Genomic DNA, 26244 nt, shown 5'->3' on the forward strand with positions numbered 1-26244 from the left:
ATCAGAAAGGACCAGGAGCCTGTGCCTGCGCTGGAGCGGGGGGAAGCGGCGGGAAGCGGCGGGAGAGAGGGGAGACAGGGTCAGGAGATGAGGTGAGGGCAGATCCAGCAGGACCTCCAGCGTTCCTGGAGAGTGAGCTGGCACGCAGCCACGTGGTCCTATTTTCATATTTTAAAAGCATGCCTTTGGCTGCTATGTGGAGAGCAGACTGAAGGGTTGAGGGGATGAAAGTGGAGAGACCAGACAGAGGCCTTTGCAATAATCCAGGCAGCTATGATGGTGGCAGGGAAGGTCCATTGGTCCCTCCCTCTGCTGCAGGATGGTCTACAAGATACATTGTTAAATGAAAAAAGCAAGATGTGGAACAGTGTTTTGTAAACTAGCACTCATGAGACACAGCACACACACCTATTTATGCTTCATTGAGTATAGAATCTATTGGGAAGATCACTTCAGAATGATATATTGCTGCTTCATGGAAGGAGAACTGGGTGGCTTGTGGACAGGCACAGCACAGAAATTGACCTTTTCATTTATATCTTTTTGTACCTTTTGAATTTTGGACCCTGTACATAGAGTATATTGCTTATTAAAAATTAAATTACTTATTTTTTTAAAGTACCTTAAATATTTGAGAGAGGAAAATATTTGCACATAGGAGATACAGAGGATTATTCAAAATTTTTTATTTGTAAAGAATTCCTTGCCGGGTGTGGTGGCTCACACCTGTAATCCCAATACTTTAGGATTTGAGCTTAGGAGTTTGAGACCTGCCTGGACAACACAGGGAGACCCTGTCTCTACTTTAAATTTATATTAAATAAATTTTATATTTAAAAAAATTCGTAAAACCTATAAGGAAAATGGACAAAGGCCATAAACAGAGGAGGAAATACAAATGGCCAGTGAACAAAGACACCCACTCTCATCAGGAACTAAATGACAAGATGCCATTTTGAGCTGACAAGTTGACAAAAATTAAATCATTTTAAAGTCAAGGACGGGCCGGGCGCGGTGGCTTGCCTGTAATCCCAGCACTTTGGTCCGCCATTGCACTCCGGCCTGGGCAACAGAGTGAGACTCGGTCTCAAGAAAAAAAAAAGAAAAAAAATTAAATTAAATTAAATTAAGTCAAGGGTGGGAACTCTGTGGAAATGAAGCTTCTGAAGCTGTCCGGGAAGAGAAGCGGCCCCTGGTCAGGCCGAGAACCCCACAGCAGCAGCCCCGTCTTCCCCCAGCTCACTGCTAGGCGAGGCTGCTCCTGCGCCTCCGGGCTTCCCAAAAATCCAGACGCAAACTGCGCGGCCTCTGCGTTCGCTTCCCGGTTCAAGTTACCCAGTAAAGAGGAACCTCAAACGCTCTGCCCTCGGGGCCCAGCGTCCAAACCCAGCCTGGGCAGGGCCGGCTCCTCAGGGGTCCTCGGCCGCCTGGGGGCCACAGGCGTCTCCCTGGTCCGTATCCAGAGCCTGCTTCTCAGGAGAACGCTGGCTCTGGGGCCAGTCCTAACCCACGAGGGCTCCTCTCGACCACATCTGCAAAGGCCCTATTTCCAAATAAGGTCGCATTCCTGGGTCCTGGGCGGACACGAACCTGGGGCCCGCGCATCCCAGCGTCGTCGCCGCCGCCAACCTCCGGCACCGCGCCGACCCGCGCGGAGTCTCCCCTCCATCATACGCGAGGATTTCCCTTTGGAGTCTCGCTCTGTCGCCCAGGCTGGAGTGCAATGGCGCCATTTCGGCTCACTGCAACCTCCGCCTCCGTGGTTCAAGCGATTCTCCTGCCTCAGCCTCCGAGTAGCTGGGATTACAGGCGCGTGCCCCCACGCTCAGCTAATTTTTGTAGGGGGGTGGGTGGGTTTCACCAGGTTGGCCAGGCTGGTCTCGAACTCCTGACTTCAGGTGATCCACCCGTCTCGGCCTCCCAAAGTGCTGGGATTACAGGCGTGAGCCACCGCGCCCGGCCGGATTTCCCTTTTAAATGTGAAGGCACCTCCATGCTCATCGCGAGCCTGACGTCCACGCGGCGCCCACCCGCGGGCGCGCCTGCCCCGGGCGCCACCTGCCCGGCTGCCCCCGCACCCGGCTCCGCGCAGCTCTGCACGCTGTCGCCCTCCGGCCAGCAGGGGGCGCCGCCCGCCCGCCCCGCGCAGCCGCCTCTTCCCCGGAAGTCCCGCCTCGGCCGGAAGTCGTGCGTCCACGCGTTTCGAAAGATGGCGGCGTCCAGGAGCGCGGGAGAGGCCGGCCCGGGCGGCTCCCAGGGACGCGTGGTCCGCATGAAGCGCAGAGGCGGGCGCGGGCCGCGCCGCGGTCCTGCTGGCGGTGGGGAGAAGGCCCTGAAGAGGCTGAAGCTAGCGGTGGAGGAGTTCGTGCACGCGACTTCGGAAGGCGAGGCTCCCGGGGGTTGCGAGGGGCGCGGCGCCCCGGTGAGCTTTCGCCCGGGAGGGAGAAAAAGCCGTAAGGAACTGAGGAAGGAGAAGCGGCACCTGCGGAAAGCACGCCGGCTGCAGAGGACGGCGGGCCCCGAACAGGGTCCCGGCCTGGGAGGCCGAAGCGGAGCCGAAGAAGCCAGCGGTCACCGGCAGGACACGGAGGAGCGCGCCCGCCCAGCCCCTAGTCGGGACCCCTCGCCTCCCAGGAAGCCGCGGCCGTCCCGGGTCAAGGCCAAGGCCACGGCCGCCACCGCAAAGACCAGACCCTCCGCAGCCGCCACCGCCGCTGCCCGGAAACGGGCGCTTTTAGCGGCGAACGAGGAGGAGGACCGAGAGATCCGAAAGCTGGAGCGTTGCCTCGGTTTGAACAAGCGCAAAAAGAAGGACGGCAGCAGCTCCGTGCCGCTGAGCTTTGCACGCGACGGTCTTGACTATATTCTGGGAGCCCTGGAGTCTGGGAAAAATAGCGGCTTGTACGACAGCAGTGGTGAGGAGGAGGAAGATGCCGGACAGACACTCCCCGAAAGTGACTTAGAGAGTGACTCCCAGGACGAAAGTGAGGAGGAGGAGGAGGGAGACGTAGAAAAGGAAAAGAAGGCGCAGGAAGCAGAAGCGCAGAGCGAGGACGACGACGAGGATACAGAAGAGGAACAGGGGGAAGAAAAGGAAAAGGGAGCGCAGGAGAAAAGGAGGGGGAAGAGAGTCCGTTTTGCAGAAGATGAAGAAAAGAGTGAAAATTCCTCGGAGGACGGTGACATAACGGATAAGGTATCGTGTGAACACTCTCTAGGCCCTCTGGGATTTCCTTCAAAATAACGGGACAGGGAATGGGGCGTGAGGCAGAAATGACACAGACTTGGTGTCTTGATAATGGTTTCAGCTGAATGTGAGTAAATCGAGTACGTTACTCTATTCGGTCTTCTTTCATGTTTTTAAATTTTCATAATGTAAAGTTTAGGAGAAAAGCAATATAGAGACATTTTTATCCCGGGGACTTAAGGGCCATTTCCACAGTGCAGCATCTTCATTCTGTGTTTACCAGCCCAGGTCTCTAAACCTGTTAACCCTACCTCATCTGTTAAGGCCTCTTTCGAGTATCCGAGGACATCTGCCGTGCCCGACTTTTAGAGTGAATTTTCTAAAACTCGAAGCTAATTTACAGCACTCCCTTAGATAAAGTCCAACATTGAATTAAAGATAAAGGCTGAGGCGGGGCAGATCATTTGAGGTCAGGTGTTTGAGACCAGCCTGGCTAACGTGGTGAAACCCCGTCATTACTAAAAATACAAAAAACAGCCGGGCGTGGTGGCAGGCGCCTGTAATCCCAGCTACTTGGGAAGCTGAGGCTTGAACCAGGGAGGCAGAGGTTGCACTGAGCCGAGATCGCGCTACTGCACTCTAGCCTGGGCGAGAGAGCCAGACTCTGTTTCAAAGAAAAAAAAAAGTTCAGAATCTAGGACGTAGCAATCAAGGCATTCATGGGCTGTCATCTTGCATATTTTATCTCAGCGTTCCTTTGCATGTAGCTCATGGTTGGAGGCAGCTGTGTGGAATTGCCTGCATTTCCTTCTCCCCACATCGCACTAGTTCTATGTATGTAAATATTCAGCTTCTATGTATACAAATATTCTTTATTGAACCAGGTTTAAACTACCTAGCAGTGAGGATCGTGCCTTGCAAATGTTTGTGTCCTTAATGATTTGCAAACACCACCACCCCCCTTGATAATTTAGGAAATAGCAGTGAGTTGGTTTTGATTTTTTTTTTTTGAGACTGAGTCTTGCACTGTCGTCTAGGCTGGAGTAGAGTGGTGCAGTCTCCGCCCACTGCAAGCTCCGCCTCCCAGGTTCATGCCATTCTCCTGCCTCATCTCCCAAGTAGCTGGGACTACAGGCGCCCACCACCATGCCCGGCTAATTTTTTGTATTTTCAGTAGAGATGGGGTTTCACTGTGTTAGCCAGGATGGTCTTGATCTCCTGACCTCGTGATCCGCCCGCCTCAGCGTCCCAAAGTGCTGGGATTACCGACATGAGCCACCGTGCCCGGCCGGTTTTGATTTTTATCATATAAACTTAGATATTACTTTTAAACAAGTTTGAAATTGTTTTTAGGACACTTTCCCTCCAAAATTAGCGGTTTGTTTAATTTAGGTTCTTGTATGCTACTGTGCCTGCAGTAAGTTAAGGCCGAGCAAAAGCGCAGTAGATAGGGCTCTGTTGGAGTTGAGCAGATACCAGAGGTGCACAGCTGGGTCTGAAGAGCTACACAGGGGAAAACGAGATGGTGAAATGTATTATTAATAGCATTAATGGGAATAGTGACAGGCACAGCCTGGTGAGTGGAATGTTTACCCATATACTAAGCACTCAATAAATCTGATGTATTTAAGCAGCAATGATCAGTAGCAGCTTCCACCAGTTCTTGGAAGTTTAATATTTAAATACACATATGGCAAAGAAAAAACACAGGATTTGGTCAGTGTAAATTTTTTGTAATTTATTTCTCTTTTCAAGCAGAGTCTTTGTGGAAGTGGTGAAAAGTACATCCCACCTCATGTGAGGCAAGCTGAGGAGACAGTGGACTTCAAGAAAAAGGAAGAACTAGAAAGGCTGAAGAAACATGTAAAAGGTCTACTTAACAGGTGACCTTGTAGTGTTGTTACACTGTGTCACTTAGAGAGGTTGTCTGTTTCCTAAAATGTAGGAATTATCCCAGCAATTCAAATAGAAGTGATGGGGACAGTCGATTGGATCCTTTCTGTTCTTGGCTTGATGCACCGAGACCCATGAGACCCATACCTCGAGAAGGAGAGGATACCCGACTGTTGGCTACTTTGAATCCCTTTAGGGTTTGAGAGCAGCCCAAATGCTCACATTGTTATTCTGAGAAGCAGGAAGGAAAGGGGCAGAGGTTCTTTGTCCGTCTAAGGACAGTGTTGGAAGGACTGGCTTATGTCCCCTCTCTGCAGAAACACATTCACCTGGTCTTCCATCCCCCTTACTCATTGCTCATGTCTGCATTTTGTTGTTACCCACTTTAAGAACAGAACATTTAAAAAACTGATTGGAAACCATACAGGTGGGGCTTTGTCAGTTACACGTGCCCATCAGCTCTTTGGTTTTGAGGATGTGTGTGTGCATGTGATTCTGTGTAGGTTTTTTTGTTTTGTTTTGTTTTGTTTTGAGATGGAGTTTTTGCTCTTGCTGCACTGGCTGGAGTGCAATGGCGCTATCTCGGCTCACTGCAACCTCTGCCTCCACCTCCCAGGTTCAAGCAGTTCTCCTGCCTCAGCCTCCTGAGTAGCTGGGATTACAGGCATGCGCCACCACGCCAACTAGTTTTGTATTTTTAGTAGAGACGGGATTTCTCCATGTAGGTCAGGCTGGTCTCAAACTCCCGACCTCAGGTGATCCGCCCGCCTCAGCCTCCGAAAGTGCTGGGATTACAGGCATGAGTCACCGCACCGGGGCAGTTCTGTAGTTTTATCACATGAAGATTCGAGTCACCACCGCTGCAATTGAGATAAAACTCACCACCATCTCTCCCCTGCTGCCCCTCCATGGCCTCACCCACCCCCTTCCCCCTTGTATTGCTTTTTGTTTCCTGTTATCCTGGGAATTTATATAAACCTCTGTTTCAGTGTCGAGTTCAGTATTAGCACAGGTTCACAGTGAGTAACCTTCCACGTACATATGTGTGTAGTGTCCCCACTACCCGTTCAAACAGAGCAGCCTTTTCTAGTGTTAGGAACTAAGGATTTTTGTGCCACCTAAGAAATAAAACGTTAGCATTTTTTCTAACAACACGTCCTAAGGCTGGACCCTGCCTATGGGATATCAGGTCAGAATATTCAGGGGAGTATCCTCACGTATGTTTCTGTAGACTTAATCCAGGGTATGCCTCAGTGTGGCCACATTTCATCTTGTAAAGACAGCAATTACATTGTTTTGGGATTCCAGAATATTATCTGGTTATGAATAATATATGCTGGGTTATTGGGGCAAGATAAGAATAGTTAAGGGGTCAAAAGTGTACATAAAAATAGAATATATTGTTGGTATGGATAACTCTTTAATTTTTTAAAATTGAACTGAAAATTCCTAATTGGAAACATTGTTGCTCTCTGTCTTTACAATTCTCTGCAGGTTGAGTGAACCCAACATGGCTTCCATCAGTGGGCAGCTGGAGGAACTGTACATGGCCCACAGCAGAAAGGACATGAATGACACCCTGACCTCCGCTCTCATGGGTGCCTGCGTCACTGCCTCGGCCATGCCCAGCAGACTGATGATGGAGCATGTTCTCTTAGTCAGCATCCTTCACCACACAGTTGGAATCGAGGTACAGTTGTACCTTTTCTCCAGGCTGTCACTAGTGTCTCATGGTGATTATTTTAATGATAGGCTTGATAAGTGCGTAATTGTGTGCTGTGGGTGGTTCTTGTGTCGATTCCTTTTTGTTGTGAATAAATACTCTATTGTCTATGTCATGTAGTTGTAAAGAGCATTCAGGAAGTACTTGATTACTTGATTTTGCTTAACTTTGCTTTTTTGTTCTGTCCATTCTTTTTTTTTTTTTTTTTTTTGAGACAGGGTCTCGCTCTGTCGTCTAGGCTGGAGTGCAGTGGCACGATCACAGCTGCAGACTCGAGTGATCCTCCCACCTCATCCTCCAGAGTAGCTGGAACTGCAGGCGCACACCACCAGGCCTGGCTAATTGTTTTGGTGGGAGCAGAAGTGGAGTCTCACTCTGTTGCCCAGGCTGGTGTCAAATTCCTGGGCTCCAGTGATCCTCCTGCTTTGGCGTCCCAATGTGTTGGGATTACAGGCGGGAGCTGCCATGCCCAGCCCTGTTCTGTCCAGCCTAGCATGTCTTTTATGTTAGTTAATTTTCTTCTCGACTGACATCTCAGACGTGCCTTCATTTCCTTTGCACTTCTCCCTTAACACTGATTTATTTCAGATGTTTGGAAGATAATGGTTGGTGTGGTCTCACTACTGAGGTGTTGGTATTGATGGGAGATGTGAGAGCACTGGGGCATGGAACTGCCTGGACATGTTCAGGGAGACCTGGTGCCCTTTCTGTGTCATGGCCCTTTCTCATCAGTGAAGTGGGCTTTTGTTGGGATTGAACTGAACAGTGTACAGAAAGCATCTGGCACCCGACAGGTGCTAAGTAAATGTCCACCCCACCCCCACATCCCTTTCGTATTCTTCTTGCTCCACAACCCTTGTGGTTAAAGTCAGAGAGGCTCTTTGGTGATGGCCTTGGTTCCACAGTCACTGCCCTCTTCTGGGCCTGTTCTCTCTTAATTGAATACAGGAAAGTCATAACACTCCCAGTCAGTATCCCAGTTCCCCCAAGGTAGCTGATTTCAGATGTGTTGAAGTAAATCCGTCCAACTAAAGGAGATTGTTGTGAGGTTGGTGAACGAATGGAGGGTTGGGTCAGTGAGGCTTAGTTTTCCCGTGATACAGTATTTACATGCAAATGCAGTGTTTAACCCATTTGGATCTTTAAATGATAGTCTCTTTTAATGGTGGTTCTCTTAGTTTTTTGCCTTCTGACAGCTCTACTCCAAAAAATAGGCCACAGCAGCACAGCATCCCTAAAAGTCTAATTACCTGGTGTACGTTTATATACTTTCGTCTCCTCCTCACCTTTAATCCTAAAGTGTCCCGGTGAGATCAGGGCAGACCTTTACTGAAGCTTGCTTTGCAGTGCAGCAGGCAAAGCCGCTGAAGCGCTATGTGAAATTCCCAAGATCACGTCTTGTTAAAAGTACACAGAACTTGTTTTCTGGGCTCCTAGGCAAGCATGCTTTCTACTGCAATGCTAGTCACATTCATTTCATTTTTATATTACTTTCTCTCAATTATAATCTTAACAGTTATTTAGAGTCTTACCAAGTGGGGCTCTCCAAAGCTTGCTTTAAGATGCACATATTTGCCGGCCGGGCGCGGTGGCTCACTCGTGTAATCCCAGCACTTTGGGAGGCCGAGGCGGGTGGATCACGAGGTCAGGAGATCGAGACCAGCCTGGCCAAAAAGGTGAAACCCCGTCTCTACTAAAAATACAAAAAAAAATTAGCCAGGCATGGTGGCGGGCGCCTGAAGTCCCAGCTACTCCGGAGACTGAGGCAGGAGAATGGCGTGAACCCAGCAGGCGGAGTTTGCAGTGAGCCGAGATCGCGTCACTGCACTCCAGCCTGGGTGACAGAGCGAGACTCAGTCTCAAAAAAAAAAAAAAGATGCACGGATTTGCCAAAATGAAGTAGCCTTCTTGTCACTGGGGCTTCTGTGCTGAAGGCGGCATGGGGTGGGTGGAGATGCTGCCTGAGTACAAAACATGCTGTAACGCGCACGGTCTGTGTCACTTAGATGAACTTGTGCCTCCGAGTCTTCCTGTGTCCAGTCGTTAAGGTCAACGAGTTAGTTCATGTAATAGGCATAGGAAAGAGCTGGCCCACAATAAGCGCTCATTGAAGGCTCATTATTTATGTACAGAAGGAGATTTTCGTGTTTTAATTCTGTTCTTCCTCTGGCTGGCTTTTCCTACCACTGCTGATTTCTTTGTTGTTGCTAGATAATGTTCTGATCCACATTTTTCCATGTCTAGCAGTAGTTGCATGGTGGCAGCTTTTTGAAAGGCCTGTGGGGCATTAGGAAGCTGAGGGCTGGAGAGAGGGGCACAGGCCTGAGCATCTGAGTGCGGGACTCTTCTGAGCTACATGGGTCATCTCAGATATGAAAATCTGCACCAGCTGCTTTGGGAACCCTCTTGTTATTTTTTATTTCTAAGAGCTGTCCTCATTTTCATGTATGAGCATGTGGGAGTCTGTTTTCTTGTCATTACAAAGTGATGGAATCACTGGGTGCCATTCCTGGGCCCTGTGATTACCATAATCAGGGCCATTCTGTGACTTTCTTGGTACCTCCCTGTCCTCCTAGAGGACACTGGTATGCTTCAGCTGACTTAATCATCAGAATGATCTTAGTATAGGCAGTATCTCAGTGAGTTACAGGAAAAGCCACAGACCGTGACCACCCACAGCACATCAGGAATTTACTTGATTGGAAAACATGAGATAATTGGGCCTACTTTCATTTAAACCTTTGCTAATTGCATGAAGGACAATGAAATGACTTGTTCCGAAGGGAAGTCATTACAGTACTTTAGTTAATGACATCCACAGAAACTTCTGCCAGCGTGTGATGAGCTTTCAGGGTGCTGGCTCCATTCAGCTGCTTTCAGTCCTGTACCGAGAAAAACATTCTGTGTTAAAGACGATGGTGTCAGCTGCTGAATTGCTTCTGTAAGTCCTTTAAAACTCAAAAACCCAATCTATGTAGATTCATGTTAAAATTTCCACATCAGAGTTAACGTACAGGATGTGCTTGAATAACTTTACCAACGTGAATTTTACTTATATTCTTAAATGTTATGCTGTTATATTTTATTTTGAAGACATTAAATGGAACTTCAGATTTAGAATTTTGAGAAATTTTGATGTAATATACATAATTGAAAACATACAGCCGGGTGTGGTGGCTCACGCCTGTAATCCTAGCACTTTGGGAGGCCGAGGCGGGTGGATCATGAGGTCAGGAGATTGAGACCATCCTGGCTAACATGGTGAAACCCCGTTTCTACTAAAAATACAAAAAATTAGCCAGGCATGGTGGCAGGTGCCTATAGTCCCTGCTACTCGGGAGGCTGAGGCAGGAGGATGGCGTGAACCCAGCAGGCGGAGCTTGCAGTGAGCCGAGATCGCACCACTGCACTCCAGCCTGGGCGACAGAGCGAGACTCCGTCTCAAAAAAAAAAAAAAAAAAAAAAAAAAGAAAAAGAAAATATACATGAATATGTTTTATGCCTAAATTTTTATTGACGTCTGCAGAATTCTAATTTACTTTTAAAAATTATATTTGACTATAACATGGTTGCCATAATAGAATGTGTCTTCCAGTTTATCTTCATTGAAGGGGCTTGAATGGAAACTACAGGTTGGCTTGGTTAAGTCTCAGGTCTTTACAAACTGAAGTGTATATCCAGTCCATCAGAGCTGGCCTCCAGGAAGTCACTGTGGCCTCCCGCCAGTCTGTTGCCTTTCTCTGGATTCTTCTAGCGTTGATTTCTTTGCAGTCCAGCAATGATGTCTGTGTACTTCCCCATACACTCAAGACTGTCTGGTGGATCTCAGCCTTGCCTGCGATTTTCACTGACACCCTTAGATCTCCATCCAGTCCTGTCTGGATGGCCCCTGTTGAAGCTTAATAACCCCTGAGCTGGTCTTGTCCAGCCCCACTAGCTTGCTGCCCCTCACGTAGTTCCTGGTTACCCAGACCAGAAACCTGGGAGTCACAGATCCTTCAGCTTTTACAGCCGGTGTCACACACTGCCATGCGTTGCTGTGTTACCCAGGCCCTTCATCCCTGGTCCAGCGCAGCTGCGTTATTTAGGCCATCGTCTCCTGGCTGGGCTGTGGGGGTCACTCTTTGTCACCACCATGTCCCTGCTTCCGCCTTCTCCCTCCAGTCCCAGCTTAAGTTGAGATTTGACGGAAAATGATGACACGGTAGTGTTGCCAGCAAGACTGAAAACGACTGTTTTCTGCCTTCAAGTTTTATTATCTCTCTTTTACACAGTGAAAAAACAGGGTTCCAGGAACTTGCTGAAGACCACACAGACCCACATGCAGGTCTTCTCATCCTTCAGTCCACAGTTACGGAATTCGGGATAAAATGTACCAGAACAGCACAAGGAGAACACTTAGGCCTTGCTTAGCTCCACCAGGCCCGGCAGTTCCTGGCCCCACTTCCGCCCCTCAGGGCAGTGTCTGGTTTACCTGCTGGTCCCCATCAGGGCCCAGTGCCCCTCAAACCACTGGCTGAGCCAAGTGAGTGTATTCACAAGCTACCTTAGTGCCAGAGACTCAGCCCTGGGAAAGTAGGGCGTCTCCTCCGTGCCACCTGGAGCCCTTCCAGAGATTATTAAGTACCTGTCTATTTGGCAACCTCTGATATTCAGAATGTGTTGCGTTTATCTGTTTTAGAAATCACTCGTATTGCTTCCTTGTAAGAAATGAATTTGGGGTAAAAATCTGCAAAAAAATCTTTTAAGAAATGAATATTGTTAGGTAGTGGAACTTTTTTTTTTTTTTTACACAGAGTCTTGCTCTGTCGCCCAGGCTGGAGTACAGTGGCGCAATCTCAGCTCACTGCAACCTCCATCTCCTGGGTTCAAGCGATTCTCTTGCCTCAGCCTCCCAAGCAGCTGGGATTACAGGCATATGCCACCACGCCCGGCTAATTTTTTGTATTTTTAGTAGACACGGGGTTTCACCACGTTAGCCAGGATGGTCTCGATCTCCTGATCTTGTGATCCACCCACCTCAGCCTCCCAAAAGTGCTGGGTTTACAGGCGCACACCACCACACCTGGCTAATTTTTTTTTGTATTTTTAGTAGAAACGGGGTTTCACCGTGTTAGCCAGGATGGTCTTGATATCTCCTGACCTTGTGATCCACCCACCTCCGCCTCCTAAATTGCTGGGATTGCAGGTGTGAGCCACCGCACCTGGCCAGTAGTGGAATATTTTGAGAGACATAGGTGTGTTTTTAACATCATTTTTAACAGTTTTATTTTTCCAAGGAGTCAGAATGGCTGCTGGCCAAACAGTGCCCCTTGGTTGTTGATTTTAACAAGAGGAAGGTGCCCTTGCGTCCAGGCTGGGGCACTCTGGCCGGCTGCTCTGGGTTGCCGAGGGATGCCTTGTTGGAATGCCCTGCCTTGTGGCACTTTGTTAATTTAGAAAGTGCCAGTTCTGTGTGTTGAAGGAGAAAGGAAGGTTTCTAGGAATAACATAATCTTTTTTCTGTGTGGTTCTTTCAGGTCGGTGCCCACTTTCTGGAGGCAGTGGTGAGGAAGTTCGATGCCATCTATAAATACGGAAGCGAAGGGAAAGAGTGTGACAACCTGTTCACCGTCATTGCCCATTTATACAACTTCCACGTGGTACAGTCTCTCCTCATCTTCGACATTTTGAAAAAACTGATTGGAACTTTCACCGAAAAAGATATTGAACTGATCTTGTTAATGCTGAAAAACGTGGGTTTTTCATTGAGGAAAGATGATGCTTTATCACTTAAGGAATTGATCACTGAAGCCCAGACCAAAGCCAGCGGGGCAGGCAGCGAGTTTCAGGACCAGACCAGGGTACGCGTGCGACGCTTGATCTGCTTCCTAAGTCCCTAAAGCTCACAAACTGGCCAGAACCTAAAAATCAGTATCTGGGGTAAATATTACACTTGCTTTCCTAGTGATTTCTGTTTTTTCTGTCTCATCCTGTTTTCTGGCTTTAATATGTGAATGGACCTTATTCCTTTACCAGAAAAATATTTTGTGAATTTAAAAACTGATTTATTTAACATTCATCCGTTAAAAAATGCTTACCGAGGAGGCCACAGGACATGGGGCTCTAGGGTCAGCCTGGGTTGGACTTTGGGCTCTGCCACTTGACAGCAGCATAACCTGGGTCTTCTGAGCCTCAGTTTCCCCCTCTGTAAAACAGGGACTGATCACAGCTCCCACATTGTGTGCCGTTCAGATGATGAGATGTGTGGAACCGCGTGTTCCTGGGAAGCCGTTTGGGGAAGAACCCGAAAAGGGTTAGTTTGAGAGCCTGGAGGGGGCATCACAAGAGAAAAAGGCAGAGTTCAGGTCTCTGGTCCCTTGTTAATTACTGCAGGGAATTGAGGGTTTTATCCTAGAGGCATCTGAAGGGTTCCAGCAGGTGAATGACAGGTTGGAGTTTTCCTTCTGATGGTCACTTTGACTCCAAGGCAGAAAGAGGCATGAGGTGGTCGAAGTCAGGAGGAGTTTTGCAGGAGCTGGGGAGTAGGTGGTGGCAAATGTTGGGATCGTGGCAGTGGGTGTGGACATGGGCGTCAGAAGTGACCAGACCTCATGTGGATTGGGATGAAGGGAAGGAGGGCTCAGGGTCACCCATCAGGGGCACAGGGGACCGTGCAGGAGGAGATGAGGATTTAGGACAGGCACCTCCATTTTTGAAAGACTGGGTTAGCTGTGAACAGAGTGGGCTGAAGGGATATGGGGCTGCTCTCGTAGAGGGGGTCCTGGGAGCCATGGAAATGGGTGGACTTGCCTGGCAGCAGGTGGGCTGTGAAGAGGACCTTCAGGTTAAGGAGCACTGACGTCTAGCTGCAGGCAGGAGGGAGAGCTGGCAGGTGAGAAGGAAATGAGGATGGTCCCAGGAGCCAGGGAACACTAGTGTCCCCAGGAAGAATTCACGCCCGTGTGGGATGCTGAGGACCAGCAAGAGGAGGAAGGGATTTGCATTTTGGGCTGAATTGTGACGGCGGTCCTGACTGGCTTATCCTGGTCCCCGGAGAAGCCAGTCTGAAGAGGAGGGGGCTGGAGAAGGGAATGGGAGCAGCGGGCTCAATGGTGGTTTCAAATGGAGAAGAGACAGAAAGTACATTAGTGGGCTGGGGAGCTGGCTGGGGAGTTGGGGAAATGGGGAATGGTTGTTAATGGGCTTGGAGTTTCTCTTCTGGGGTGATGAGAAAGTTCTGAAATTGATTGTGGTGATAGTTGCACAACTCTGAATGTATTAAAAGCCACATAATTATATACCTTACATGAGTGAGTTTTATGCTATGTGAATTCTGTATCAGTAAGAAGTTGACATTTGGGGACATCTCAGAGGGTATGTGGGAATTCTTTGTGCTGTTCTTGCAACTTTTCTGTATGACATTACTTCCAGTTTTAAAGTTAAAAAAATTACAAGGCCAGTGGTAGGAGAGAGGATGTCCAGAGCAGGTCGCGGGGGGCCAGGGTGGGAGCAGGAGCGTAGTAGAGGCCGGGGTGGCCGAGTAGGTGTGGACGGTGCGGAAGGGTGAGGCGTGTGGCGAGCAGAAGGGAAAAGAGATCTCTGGGGAGTTTGGGTTCCCACTTGACGTTGGGGGACACATTTCCATTTTGAAGTATTATGTAGCCCTGAGTAAGCGGCTGAGACTAGTTTAGACTGTCTCTACCTAAAGGCTGTCCTGACTTTGTATCGTGGCGGTGGCGGCCATGTGCATCAGGTGTGGTAGATTTCTTGCCAACTTGAATGGGCCGTTTAGACTGTTTGAAATGATGGACTTTCCATTTTTTCATTTTTCTTGAAGATTCGGTTTATGCTAGAGACGATGTTGGCCCTGAAGAACAATGACATGCGCAAAATTCCAGGCTATGACCCCGAGCCCGTGGAGAAGCTGAGGAAACTGCAGAGAGCTTTGGTGAGTCAAGGAACTTTCAATTCTGTTTTGCTCAGAGCTTCCGTGTCGGCATGAGCCTGTCATGAAAATCAAGAAATAGTCAGACCTGCACGTCAGGGTGGTGTCTGGTGAGTGAGAGTGCTCAGAGGCAGAGTGAACGCGGCTCGGTTTTCCTCAGGGGCTGTCCCAGTGGTCTGGGCGTGCTCGTGCAGAATGTCCGTGTGTGGGGAAGCCCATGTTGGGCGAGCGTCCTCTTTGCCTCACCCCGGGTGCTAAACTTGGGCTGCACCATTGGATCATCCGATGCTTTCAGAGAAGGCCAAGTCCCCATCCGGACCAAGGAAATTGGGATGACGTAGGTCCTTTGACTCTCTCTGACATGCAGCCAGGATGGAGACTGGGGCAGCCTCCCTGTTGGAGTGAGTCTTTCAGCCCCTGTCATCTCAAGTCCAAATCATTGCTGACCCAGGCTCTTCCAGGCATGTGCTCACCTGCCACTGAGCCTGAGGCAGCTCTGTTACTCTCTCCTGTTGGGACAGCTTTCCAAACACAGCGTGTTTGGGGTGATGGACTCTCAAACACAAAACACTGAGTTTACCGCTAGTTTTGGCATTTTTCCAAACAGGCTAACCGTCCCAATTGCCAGTGACCCATTCCAGTATTCATGCACCAGAAATGTCATGGTCAAAAACAAAAAGCCACCGGTGATGGAAGGACGGAATATGAACCAATTAAAAGCATTTCATTAGCTCTTCTCTCTTCATCAGGTCCGCAACGCCGGCTCAGGTTCTGAGACGCAGCTTCGCGTCTCCTGGGACAGTGTCTTGAGTGCGGAGCAGACGGGTCGCTGGTGGATTGTGGGGTCCGCCTGGAGTGGGGCCCCGATGATCGACAACAGTCACCATACGCACCTGCAGAAGCAGCTTGTGGGGACGGTAGGGACACCCATGCTCAAGGCTGCCAGGCAGAGGCACCCCCCTGTGTGGTGTGTGGTCCTGGCTTTACCTGGAGCAGCTCTCTTACTGTTCTTGAATGGTCACTGAAATGTACAAGGTTTATCTGGAGGCCTTACAGAAATTGCTATTAATATTACATTGTGATATAATTATTCCATTTCTGTTGTATCTTTTTATTGGACTTTAAAAGATCTAAAAGTTGAATGGCACGGGGCAGGGGAGCGCATGAGGACCTGAACGCTCACGGGGCAGGAGTCCGTTGCTGAGACCCCTCAGGCTGCCCCCCGGGCTGTGCATTCTAGGCTACAGGCTATGGATTTCACATTGTGGAAATTCAAGCCCATTTTTCATCCAGACTTCCCTCGTTATCCCCTCATGTCCTTCCCTGTCCCAGATTCTGTGTCACTCATGGTCACGGTTTCCCAGGCTCTGCCAGTGACTGGTTCTCTGTTTTATTCATCGTCGCTTGCCCTGAGGTTGAACCACGACTGAGAAGCCTCCCACATGAGTGTTTTCTCCCCCAGCGGCTGTGGCTTCACTATGTGTTCCCCTTGCACAGAGGGGCGTTGCCCGAGAGTGGACTTGGTGCCATCCGCCCACGTAGACCTCACAGTTCTATTCAGTGACACTGAAGTACAGTTTGGCACCTCTCGGGAGGCAGTTTGCATGGAGACATGCGTATGACTTGTCCATTCATCGTGCTTCCAGGTCAGTTCAAAGATCCTAGAACTCGCCCGGAAGCAGAGGATGAACACAGACATCCGGAGAAACATATTCTGCACAATAATGACAAGTGAAGATTTTTTGGATGCTTTTGAAAAGCTTCTGAAGTAAGCATTTGTGTGCACATTTTGACCTATTAATGAGATGCTGTAAAATAAGTAAGTTGATTTGCTTTTTGAGTTTTGGACGACTGAGTCTGATGCTGCCTAGGGAGGACTGGGCTGTTCTCATGACCATCCGCTCACGCTGTTGGATTCGTGCATCTCTGGGTTAGTCGTCATGTTCCTATTAATTTGCCTCTAGTAGTTCCTCATTAGAACATTTTATGATATATAAAGATTGGGGGTTTGGGGTTTTTTTTTTTGAGACAGGGTCTTGCCATGTTGCTCAGGCTGGAGACTGGGGAGTTTTGACTGAAAGTATCTGATGACCTTGTCAGTGGCTGTTGGTTGTCACGAATTGCTTAAAAATACATAAATCTTCATAATAAAGCTATTCTGATTCTTCATTTAAAACATCCTGGTATAGTTTGTATAATTAGTTGTAATAAGATTTTAAAGATCCTGTAATCCCAGCTACTTAGAAGGCTGAGACAGGAGGATCACTTTAGCCCAGTAGTTCAAGACCAGCCTGGGCAACATACTGAGACCCCCATCTCATTTAAAAAGAAAAAAAAAATCTTTAAATGTACCTGTGTAGTTTTATGAGGTACTTCTAAACAATGTAATGTTAATACATATTCTTTTATTTGCTTCAAACTAGGATGAAATACAGGGAGAACATGGTTCCTTTTAGGATTCTGATAATTAGGGTTTTATTTTCTAAACTAGAGTTTCTAGTTGGAGTGGAAGTCCTGAGTTCCCTTTGCCTCTCTGTGGCCTTGCCGTTTTGCCGAAAACCTCCCATCTCCCTAGTCACCCTTGGTCTCTAAAAGGGCTCTTTTGAGGAGAACTCTTATTCTCTAGTCAGCGGGTCTAGCTTATCCTTTGTACTCGAAGGACTTCGTTTATTTTTCCTCTGGTTGACTTCATGTGTTGAAAATTTTGGCCTATCAAACTACGTGTATTAAACAATAGTTTTTCCCATTCTTATTCCTCAAAATCATGAGTTATGAGTCTAAGCTTTTAATCAACATGAATTGATAATCAATGCAGCTGAAACTCAGTTGGTTCTTTGGGCCGCCTTCGCCGCCTGCGCTGCCTTCACCTGAGTGCTCTACGTGGGGCTGTGCTGTTTGCAGTGGAGCTGGTGCTCCTCTCCTGAGGTACAGAGTGTCTGCCTCTGTGCAGAGGTGGCAGCCTCAGCCGTATTCGGATCTCACCAGAAACTGGAAGCAGCCCACATACCCCTCAGTTGGGGAAAGGATAAACCATGAGACGCCGTCTAAGGGATACTTACTACTTGGCATCACGAGGGGCAAACTCCCAAGGCCCCAAGAGCATGGTGACTCTCGAGTGTATTCTGCCGTGCAGGAAGCCACCTTGCCCTGAATCTGTGTGACAGAGGCAGAGTCAAAACTAGAGGGACAGAAGCAGATTAGCAGTGGCCCACGGCAAGGGTGGCTCACGGCCCCAGGTTCTCACGGGTGATGGAGAGTTCTGTTTCGGCATTGCCGGTGGTGACCTGACCATATGGGCTTATCCACACTCAGGACTCTACACTACAAAGGATAGGTTTTACTGTGTGTGAGCTCTAACTCAAGTTTTACAAACGACGGCAGGCACCGTGGCTCATGCCTGTAATCCCAGCACTTTGGGAGGCCAAGGTGGGTGGAACACCTGAGGTCAGGAGTTCGAGAGCAGCCTGGCCAACATGGCAAAACCCCATCTCTACTAAAAACACAAAAATTAGCTGGGGGTGGTGGTGGCACCTGTAATCCAGCTACTCGGGAGGCTGAGGTACAAGAATCACTTGAACCGGAGAGATGGAGGTTGTAGTGAGCTGAAGTCATGCCACTGCACTCCAGCCTGGGTGACAGAGCAAGACTGTCTCAAAAAAAAAAGTAAGAAAATGTGAAGTCATCGCCATAGCAGGAACCAGCTCTAAGGGCACACACGATTGAGTCAGTTTATTGTCAGCCGGGCACAGCTGTCGACTTTTGCAGCGACGGGGGACCCCCTAGATGGTCTTGTCTCCTCTGACATTTTGCCACATTGTAGGAGAACCTGAGGACCAGAGAGGTTGTGACAGGGCTGGGCCCCTAGCTGGTGTCTGCCGCTGCCTCCACCTCCTTTACGTGGCTCGCCTCTAACCAGACCCTTCCAGGCGGGAAGATGTTCCCCTGAAAGGTATCAGCCATTAAACTTTGGAAGTCGAGTGATGTTCCAGTCATTGCTGTTCTGTTTTCTAGGCTTGGACTTAAGGATCAGCAGGAGAGAGAAATCATTCACGTTCTCATGGATTGCTGCCTTCAAGAGAAAACTTACAATCCCTTCTATGCTTTCCTGGCTAGCAAATTCTGTGAATATGAAAGGAGATTTCAGGTAGCTTAGTGCGGAGGCACCAGTTACGTCCGCTCTACTATTTTTTCTACACAGGCTACCTGGCTCAACCCACCTGCAAAGGAGTTCCCCAAGTCAGGAGGCCCCTGATATCCCCGTCACCTGGTCCACGCTGGCTGCCAGGCCACCTTCACTGGGAGCGGAAGTGGGAGGGCTAGAGGGGAGTGTCAAGGGTCCACCATGTCCTCATGTCACCTGCTTCTGCCACAGATGCAGGCAGTGTGGCCAGGCCAGCAGGAGCACCTCGTCGGTTCACAGTGCACCAGTCTGTTCTGATGCCCCTTGCTGTGGCCTTTTCCTTAGAATGTTCTGTTAGTATCTGCTGATTTGGGGGGAAGAACTGCACCAGAAGGAGATTCTTGTGAAGCTGTTTGGGACTATGCTCTATAGGCAAGAACAGTGAGGCCACCACTAAAAGTCTTGATGTTTAGAATATTAAAAATAAGATAATAAGAAAATACCTTTAGGTTATGTTGTTAGTGATATATTATAGTAATTTGTGGCCGTTTGCCTTTTTTCTCCTTTTAACTATGATACTAGATGACTTTCCAGTTCAGCATATGGGACAAATTTCGGGACTTGGAAAACTTGCCAGCTACGAATTTCTCTAATTTGGTTCATCTGGTGGCCCACTTGTTGAAGACAAAATCGCTTTCCCTTTCCATCTTAAAGGTTCGTGTAACGTGTGAAAATATTGAAAGCAATGGAAATGGGAGTGTAATTGTTTAGTACCTGGTAAATCAGGTCCTGTTTTACCAGCGTATTTTCTTCGATTCTGATTCATCTGAAAAGTGCTTGCATTATCCTAGCCAGGACAGAAAACGGCCAGACTAACATGTGCTACAAATTGATCTGGTAAATGAAGGCACCGCTGCAGTTCTTTTGCTAATCTGAATGAATGTGTTTTGGAGCTTGAGGTTAATTTGCTGGTCCTAATTATAAAATCCTGAACTGGTCACTGTTAGTGAGGAGAAGGGCGGATGAAGTAGGGCCTGGTCTCCTTAGAGGTGAGGTGAGTTTGCTCACGTTGATGTAAGGTGTTTTAAAACTGTAGGCTTTCTCCTGCCCTGCTGTGTTTTGGGACTTTGCAGTGGACCATGAAACACAGACATCTTTTTTCTTCCCCCCCCAAGATGGGAGTTGCTCTGTCACCCAGGCTGGAGTGCAGTGGTGCAATCTCTGCAACCTCTGCCTCCGGGATTCAAGCGATTCTCCTGCCTCAGCCTCCCAAGTGGCTGGGATTACAGGCTCATGCCACCACGCCCAGCTAATTTTTGTATTTTTAATAGAGACGGGATTTCACCATGTTGGCCAAGCTGGTCTGGAACCCCTGACCTTGTGATCTGCCCTCCTCAGCCTCCCAAAGTGCTAATATTACAGGTGTGAGCCAGTGCGCCCAGCTGAAACCTAGACATCTTACCAGGTGGAGTTGGGGTTAGATGTGGGCCTGTAAGGCTTGGATGGTGGGACCAACAGACTCTGAATAGCCAAAAAAAAAAACTGGAGCGCCTGGGGGGCAAAGGGAAGTGAAAAGCAGAGATAGTTGAGGGGCGTTGACTGCAGTGGCCCAGACCCACAAGACAGCCGCAGCCACAGCTTCCCGTGTGTTTCTGTGTGTCGTGTGCAGTTCATCAGCATGCCGGCTCCAGTTCACCCTGCGTCCCTTGCTGTGTGGTGTCCAAGTTTGGCCACTGTACTGAAAATGAGGGCACCGAGCCTTACGCCAAATCCTGACAACTGGAATAACTTAGCTCATGGAGGAGGCGTTGCTCCCCCTCCGCTCCCCTGCCTTGCCTTTCGCTCGCCCAGGCATTGCGCTCATCCTGGAACAGCACAGATGCTACCACCGATGAGCGGGAGAGGCGTGGCAGGAGCACACCCTCAGGCGTAGAGCTTTAGAGATGCCCCCCGCCCTGCCCCTCCGGGCTGCTCTCATTCCGAGTTTCTCTGTGTTTCGACCATGCTTTTGTGGTCTCGCCGCGTCCTCGGGTCCGCAAGCGCCTGTGATGGTGTTTGGCTGCGCACCTCCCTGTGGGTAGCATTCCCGTCACCATGCGTTTAGTCCCCTCCTCTAGCTCGCTGACATTCAGCTAAGATTGCAGTGGGTCCACGTTGGCGCCCGTGAGTCTGTTCTGGGTAGCATCCTACTGTATACGTATGCCTCAGTTTATATACTTACTTATCCTACTGATCCGTGTTTATTTCTGATTTTTTGATAGTTTTCTAGGGCAGAGATATATATGGATTAGTCTTCTAGAAGTAAATTTTATATATATATATATATATATATATATATATATATATATATATATAGTTTTAATTAGGGGATGGGTACTTTTGGGAATGGAGGTAATTTATGGTTCAGTTCTAGATACTGAATTTCTGATTCATAAGGTGTATGACCCGGGAATTCCACTTACACTGCTGAGTTGTTCTCAACGGTGGCTGTGGCCGGCCACACCTCTGCCAGCAGTGTGTAGGAATTCCCAAGGCCCACATCCTTGCCAACAGGTGTTCATTTCTTAGCTCTGGAAATAGCTTCTTAAATCGGGTAGAGTGGGGGAAGGGGGGAGATTAATTTTTACTCTAATTAACTATATTACAAATCATTGAAAAAGTTGGCTAAATCAGTGTAACTTTATTTTTCTCCATGTCCTGACCATTAGGTAGTTGAATTCAGTGAATTGGACAAACCCAGAGTCCGTTTTTTACGAAAAGTATTAAGTATCCTATTAATGGAAACAGAAGTTGAAGACCTCAGTTTAATTTTCACAAGGTATGTGCCCCACCCTTTCCGACGAGACATGGAAGAGAAATGAAGAGATTGTTTTCACTTGTGTTGATTTACAAACACAAGGTTGTACTATACGTGTAGCTTAATCTTTTCGGTTTTATTTTTAAGCTGGTATGCATTAGATCTGGGGAATAGAAACTTGTCTGCTAGCAAACTAACAATGATTGTTAATAATAAAATATGTTAAGAAGTTCTTAATTGAGAATTTTATTTTTAAAAGAAACTGGTTATGTCTCACTATGCGAGATACCCAGGATTGAGATCTAGGAGAGGCCAGCTCAGCCCTGACATGTGTTTATACGATTCCTTTCCAGAGTATCTGACAACCCAAAGCTGGGGGTGTTACGTGAGGGTTTGAAGCTTTTCATCAGCCACTTCTTGCTAAAGAACGCACAGGCCCACAGAAGCGCCGACGAAGCCAACGTGCTGAGAGAGAAAGCTGACCTTGCAACGAAGTGTCTGCAAGGAAAAGCTTCCCTGAGAATGTAGTCAGGGAAGGAAGGAGGGCAGGTGGCCCTTTGACTGTAAAATGTCCTTGGTAAACCCAAAGGCTTATTCTGTTGCCTGCGTGTGAATGTTTGGTAGAGCTATATCATTGTCTGTTAATGTATTATATTTTGAGATTTTTTTTGATCTAAGGTTTTATTGTTTGTATTTCAAGCCATTTTCAAATAACTATCTTGGGGGTGAGAGGAGAAGGAGGGAGGGAAAAGGGGTCAGGCACACTGGACAGGGTTCTCTAAGCAGTGAGGCTGGTGTGTATGATTGTCTTAAAATTTTTTAATAGATATGGCCGAGCGTGATGGCTCACCCCTGTAATCCCAGCACTTTGTGAGGCCAAGGTGGGCGGATCACTTGAGGCCAGGAATTTGAAACCAGCCTGGGCAAAACCCTGTCTCTACTAAAAATATAAAAATTAGCCAGGCATGATGGCACATGCTGGTAATAGCAGCTACTGAGGTGGCTGAGGCACAAGAATTGCTTGGACCCTGGAGGTAGAGGCTGCAGTGAGCCAAGATTGTACCACTGTACTCCAGCCTGGGCTGGACAGTGAGACTTTTGACAGTGAGACTGTCAAAAAAAAAAAAAAAATTAATAGATAAAACAGGCCACTAGAGGGTGCAGTTATAAAGAAATTGATGAGGTTTTTACCTTTTTAAAATATTGGTTAGAAGTTCAAAAACCATCCCTTAAAGGTGATTGTTTTTTTGAGACAGAGTCTTGCTCTGTCACCCAGAGTGGAGTGCAGTGTCCTGTAATCTCAGCTCACTGCAACCTCTACCTCCCGGGTTCAAGCGATTCTCCTGCCTCAGCCTCTTTAGCTGGGACTACAGGCGCACGCCACCACGCCCGGCTAATTTTTGTATTTTAGTAGAGATGGGTTTCACCATGTTGGCAAGGCTGGTCTTGAACTCCTGACCTCAGGTGATACACCCATCTCGGCCTCCCAAAGTGCTGGGATTACAGGCTTGAGCCACCACGCCCAGCTTAAATGTGATTCTTGATACTGTTTTAAGTATTTAGGTTGCAATTAACTTTGGCAAAGTCAGTCGACATAAGCCCTGTGGATATGGCCTTATGTACACTGTAATGCAGACAGGTGCTTTTCATCATTCATGTAACATTCTCACACAGTTGAGGATATTCATCTCCTCACCAATTCCAGATTGTAAATGTACCATCTTAAACAACTCTGAGGTCACCAAACAGTAGTTATTTGACTGTTAATAGGTGCTACTTGCTTGCAAGGATTTGGAGATGTAAACATGAAGAAAATATAGTTACTGCCTGCAAAGAATTAACATCCGTCTAGTGGGAGAAACAAACACACCCCACTCACTAAGTATGGAAAACTGATTCTGGGAGGAAGCAGAAATGTCCCTAGATAACAGCATGTATTGCAGATACCCAAATGTTTATTGTTTTCTCAGCCCTTCAATTTTGCTTTTCTCTCTCAAATGCTACAGACTCAATTTAAATCTTACCTTTGATTGTTGAAAAAAGTCACTAAGATGTGAATACAGAATAGACATTGAGAGGTTATATATGTCCAAAACTCATCTGTCCAGCAGTCACCGTCCTCTTCAGAGTGGTCACGTTGGGCAGATGGGCACAGGTGCTGGTGATGCCTCTCCTGGGCAAAACGCCCCATTTGTGGCACTTTCAGATACTATTTATTTACTTTTTAAGAGAGAGACAGGCTCACTCTGTCACCCAGGCCAGAGTGCAGTGGCACGATCATAGTTACCGCAGCATCAAATTCCTGGACTGAAGCGGTCCTTTTGCCTCAGCCTCGCGGATAGCTAGGACCACAAGCAGTAGAGACAAGATCTCCGTATGTTATACAGGCTGGCCTCAAGTGATCCTCTTACCTTGGCCTCCCAAACACCGGGATTATAGGCGTGAGCCCCCGTGCCTGGCCTCAAATTTTATTTTAGCTCGACCCTATGGCAGTTTGTGTTTGGAAATCGTGATGTGAAGTCATCAGTATCTGTGCATATCCCTAAACTAATGGTTTAAGCTTTGAAGCATGCGCAAGCAACATGAACAACTGAATACAGAAAGTAACTGAAAGCAGCACAGAGACTGTGTCGTCCCTACAGACTTCTAACCCTGCATTCAGCAACATCATTCGACCCGAAGCCAGATTCAAACCCTATGTCTTCTAGCAGGTTCTGAATTTAGAGGACAAATAAGGTGACAGGTACTAAGAGAAGAGTGAATTAAGTGAAAATCTTCCCTTTGTTAAGGAGCTTTTTAACAAGAGTGTCTTTGCTGGGTGGTGATTGGGATGTAACAGATCAGTTCTACTGGACTTGTAGCTTGATAGTGAAATAAGGAGCTTGGGCTAAGGTATAAATCAACACACTGCTTCCTTCCTCCAGAAGGTCTTACTGTGAAGGAAAAAATGTCAGTTGAACTAAATTGTGCTTCACGCCTCGGTAGATTTGCATTCTGATGCAAGCCCCCAACCTCACGGACCAAGAGGATCCCTGGCTGCCTGTGAATGGCCCACATTTGAGTGGTGCTAACTTGATGTGAGTAGGCATTAATTATGGGTGCGGCTACTAAGATGGGAAAAACTATCACGACAGTGGCACCACCTGATTTCATGATGTACCATATGCAGTAACCCATGTTTGAGGTACAGAATTGAAGCTGATTTTTCTGCAAAAGATGAATTTCTATAAACAATCCCATTTTTATATTTTATTATTAAAACAAAAATACCTCTCTTTGCTAGAGAGTTATATGTATGACTTAAATTATTAGCTATGGTTTGCATTTAGTACATGGCAGATTGCCTGTAAGTCTGTTCATTTTAACAACATACAGGGCTGGGCACGGTGGCTCACGCCTGTAATCCCAGCACTTTGGGAGGTTGCGGGTGGATCACTTGAGGTCAGGAGTTCGAGACCAGCCTGGCCAACATGGCAAAACCCCGTCTCTATGAAAAATATAAAAATTAGCTGGGCATGGTGGCAGGCACCTGTAATCCCAGCTACTCGGGAGGCTGAGGCAGGAGAATCGCTTGAACCTGGGAGGCGGATGTTGCAGTGAGCAGAGATCGTGCCATTGCACTCCAGCCTGGGAACAAGAGTGAAACTCTCAAAAGCAGAAACAAAAACCCAACATATATGGGCTGTTAGATAGTAATTGTAATTTCGTATAAATAGTAAATGAGTACATCTTGATTAAAAGCTATGAATTCAGAATTGCTTTTAAATATATAGGGGGTTTTTTGAAATTTATTACAGTGCAATTGAAAATACACTTAAAATACTGCAGGATGCTTAGTGCTCAGTGTTATGTATGAACTTGTGGACTTTACAATGCAGGTTGAGAACTGCTAATGTATAGAATGACTAAACAGCTGTCTTTCAGGGTATCATTTTTAAAGGTATAAGGAACAAACTTTAATGTATTGAAATGCATAAATAAAATTTATTTTTTATATTTTGTTTAGAGTAACAGTGAATGTTTATTTTGAAAGACCAGCTTGGCCGGGCACGGTGGCTCACACCTATAATGCCAGCACTTTGGGAGGCCGAGGCAGGTGGATCACCTGAGGTCAGGAGTTCGAGACCAGCCTGGCCAACATGGCAAAACCCTATCTTTACTAAAAATACAAAAATTAGCCAGGCATAGTGGCAGGTGCCTGTAATCCCAGCTACTCGGGAGGCTGAGGCAGGAGAATCACTTCAACCCAGTGGGGGGAGGTTGCAGTGAGCTGAGATTGCGCCATTGCACTCCAGCCTGGGCACAAGAACAAGCCTCTGTCTCAAAAAAAAAAAAAAGCTTTGGTGGTAAACTGAGGTCTATACCTTTCCTTTACCTTTTAAAGAAGGCTACTTAGCTCTATGATTTAGGAAGAAAGATTCATTCTCTCCACCCCCAGAGAGAGAGAACGCCCAGGAGGTGGAATGTTAACCACTGGAGAACTTGGAGAGGTTTATGCGGGTGAAGTGTGTTCTTGGAACTTTTCTGTAAGTGTATAATTGTTTCAAAATAGATGTTTTGAAAGCATTCATAATTCAGAACTCATTCTATAAAGATC

At 47.6% G+C, this 26244-nt stretch overlaps 1 protein-coding gene across 4 annotated transcripts, besides 4 other annotated features; it reads left to right on the top strand.

The window, feature by feature from the left end:
* Positions 1336-1864: an enhancer, noted in NCBI's record as "H3K27ac-H3K4me1 hESC enhancer chr7:156741558-156742086 (GRCh37/hg19 assembly coordinates)". NCBI's record gives its function as "activates a minimal SCP1, AML or CMV promoter by ChIP-STARR-seq in naive H9 embryonic stem cells {active_cell/tissue: H9 hESC(naive)}" and the evidence as "EXISTENCE:reporter gene assay evidence [ECO:0000049][PMID:30033119]".
* Positions 1925-2274: a silencer, noted in NCBI's record as "silent region_18854". NCBI's record gives its function as "represses an Ori minimal core promoter by ATAC-STARR-seq in GM12878 lymphoblastoid cells {active_cell/tissue: GM12878}" and the evidence as "EXISTENCE:reporter gene assay evidence [ECO:0000049][PMID:35858748]".
* NOM1 (nucleolar protein with MIF4G domain 1) lies at positions 2184-25648 on the top strand. Of its 4 annotated transcripts, none has more exons than NM_001353366.2 (11): positions 2184-3196; positions 4943-5070; positions 6575-6770; positions 12323-12646; positions 14623-14733; positions 15480-15647; positions 16377-16498; positions 18742-18874; positions 19433-19564; positions 21559-21668; positions 22001-25648. In NM_001353366.2, exons 1-11 carry the CDS (start codon positions 2210-2212, stop codon positions 22173-22175), a joined length of 2586 nt encoding a protein of 861 aa, NP_001340295.1. In that variant the 5' UTR covers positions 2184-2209; the 3' UTR covers positions 22176-25648. The 4 variants fall into 4 exon arrangements, 2 of the variants coding, with proteins under 2 accessions (NP_001340295.1, NP_612409.1); NM_138400.2 differs by having other exon boundaries at positions 4946-5070; XR_927511.4 differs by lacking the exons at positions 19433-19564; positions 21559-21668; positions 22001-25648 and having other exon boundaries at positions 4946-5070; positions 16377-16660; positions 18742-18816.
* Positions 2555-2604: a silencer, noted in NCBI's record as "silent region_18855". NCBI's record gives its function as "represses an Ori minimal core promoter by ATAC-STARR-seq in GM12878 lymphoblastoid cells {active_cell/tissue: GM12878}" and the evidence as "EXISTENCE:reporter gene assay evidence [ECO:0000049][PMID:35858748]".
* Positions 20802-20993: a silencer, noted in NCBI's record as "fragment chr7:156761024-156761215 (GRCh37/hg19 assembly coordinates)". NCBI's record gives its function as "represses an EF-1alpha promoter that drives an FKBP-Casp9 reporter gene in an ReSE screen in HepG2 liver carcinoma cells {active_cell/tissue: HepG2}" and the evidence as "EXISTENCE:reporter gene assay evidence [ECO:0000049][PMID:32094911]".
* Positions 25649-26244: the final 596 nt, after the last annotated feature.

The sequence above is a fragment of the Homo sapiens genome, chromosome 7 (assembly GCF_000001405.40).
Source record: "Homo sapiens chromosome 7, GRCh38.p14 Primary Assembly".
Lineage (NCBI taxonomy): Eukaryota > Metazoa > Chordata > Mammalia > Primates > Hominidae > Homo > Homo sapiens.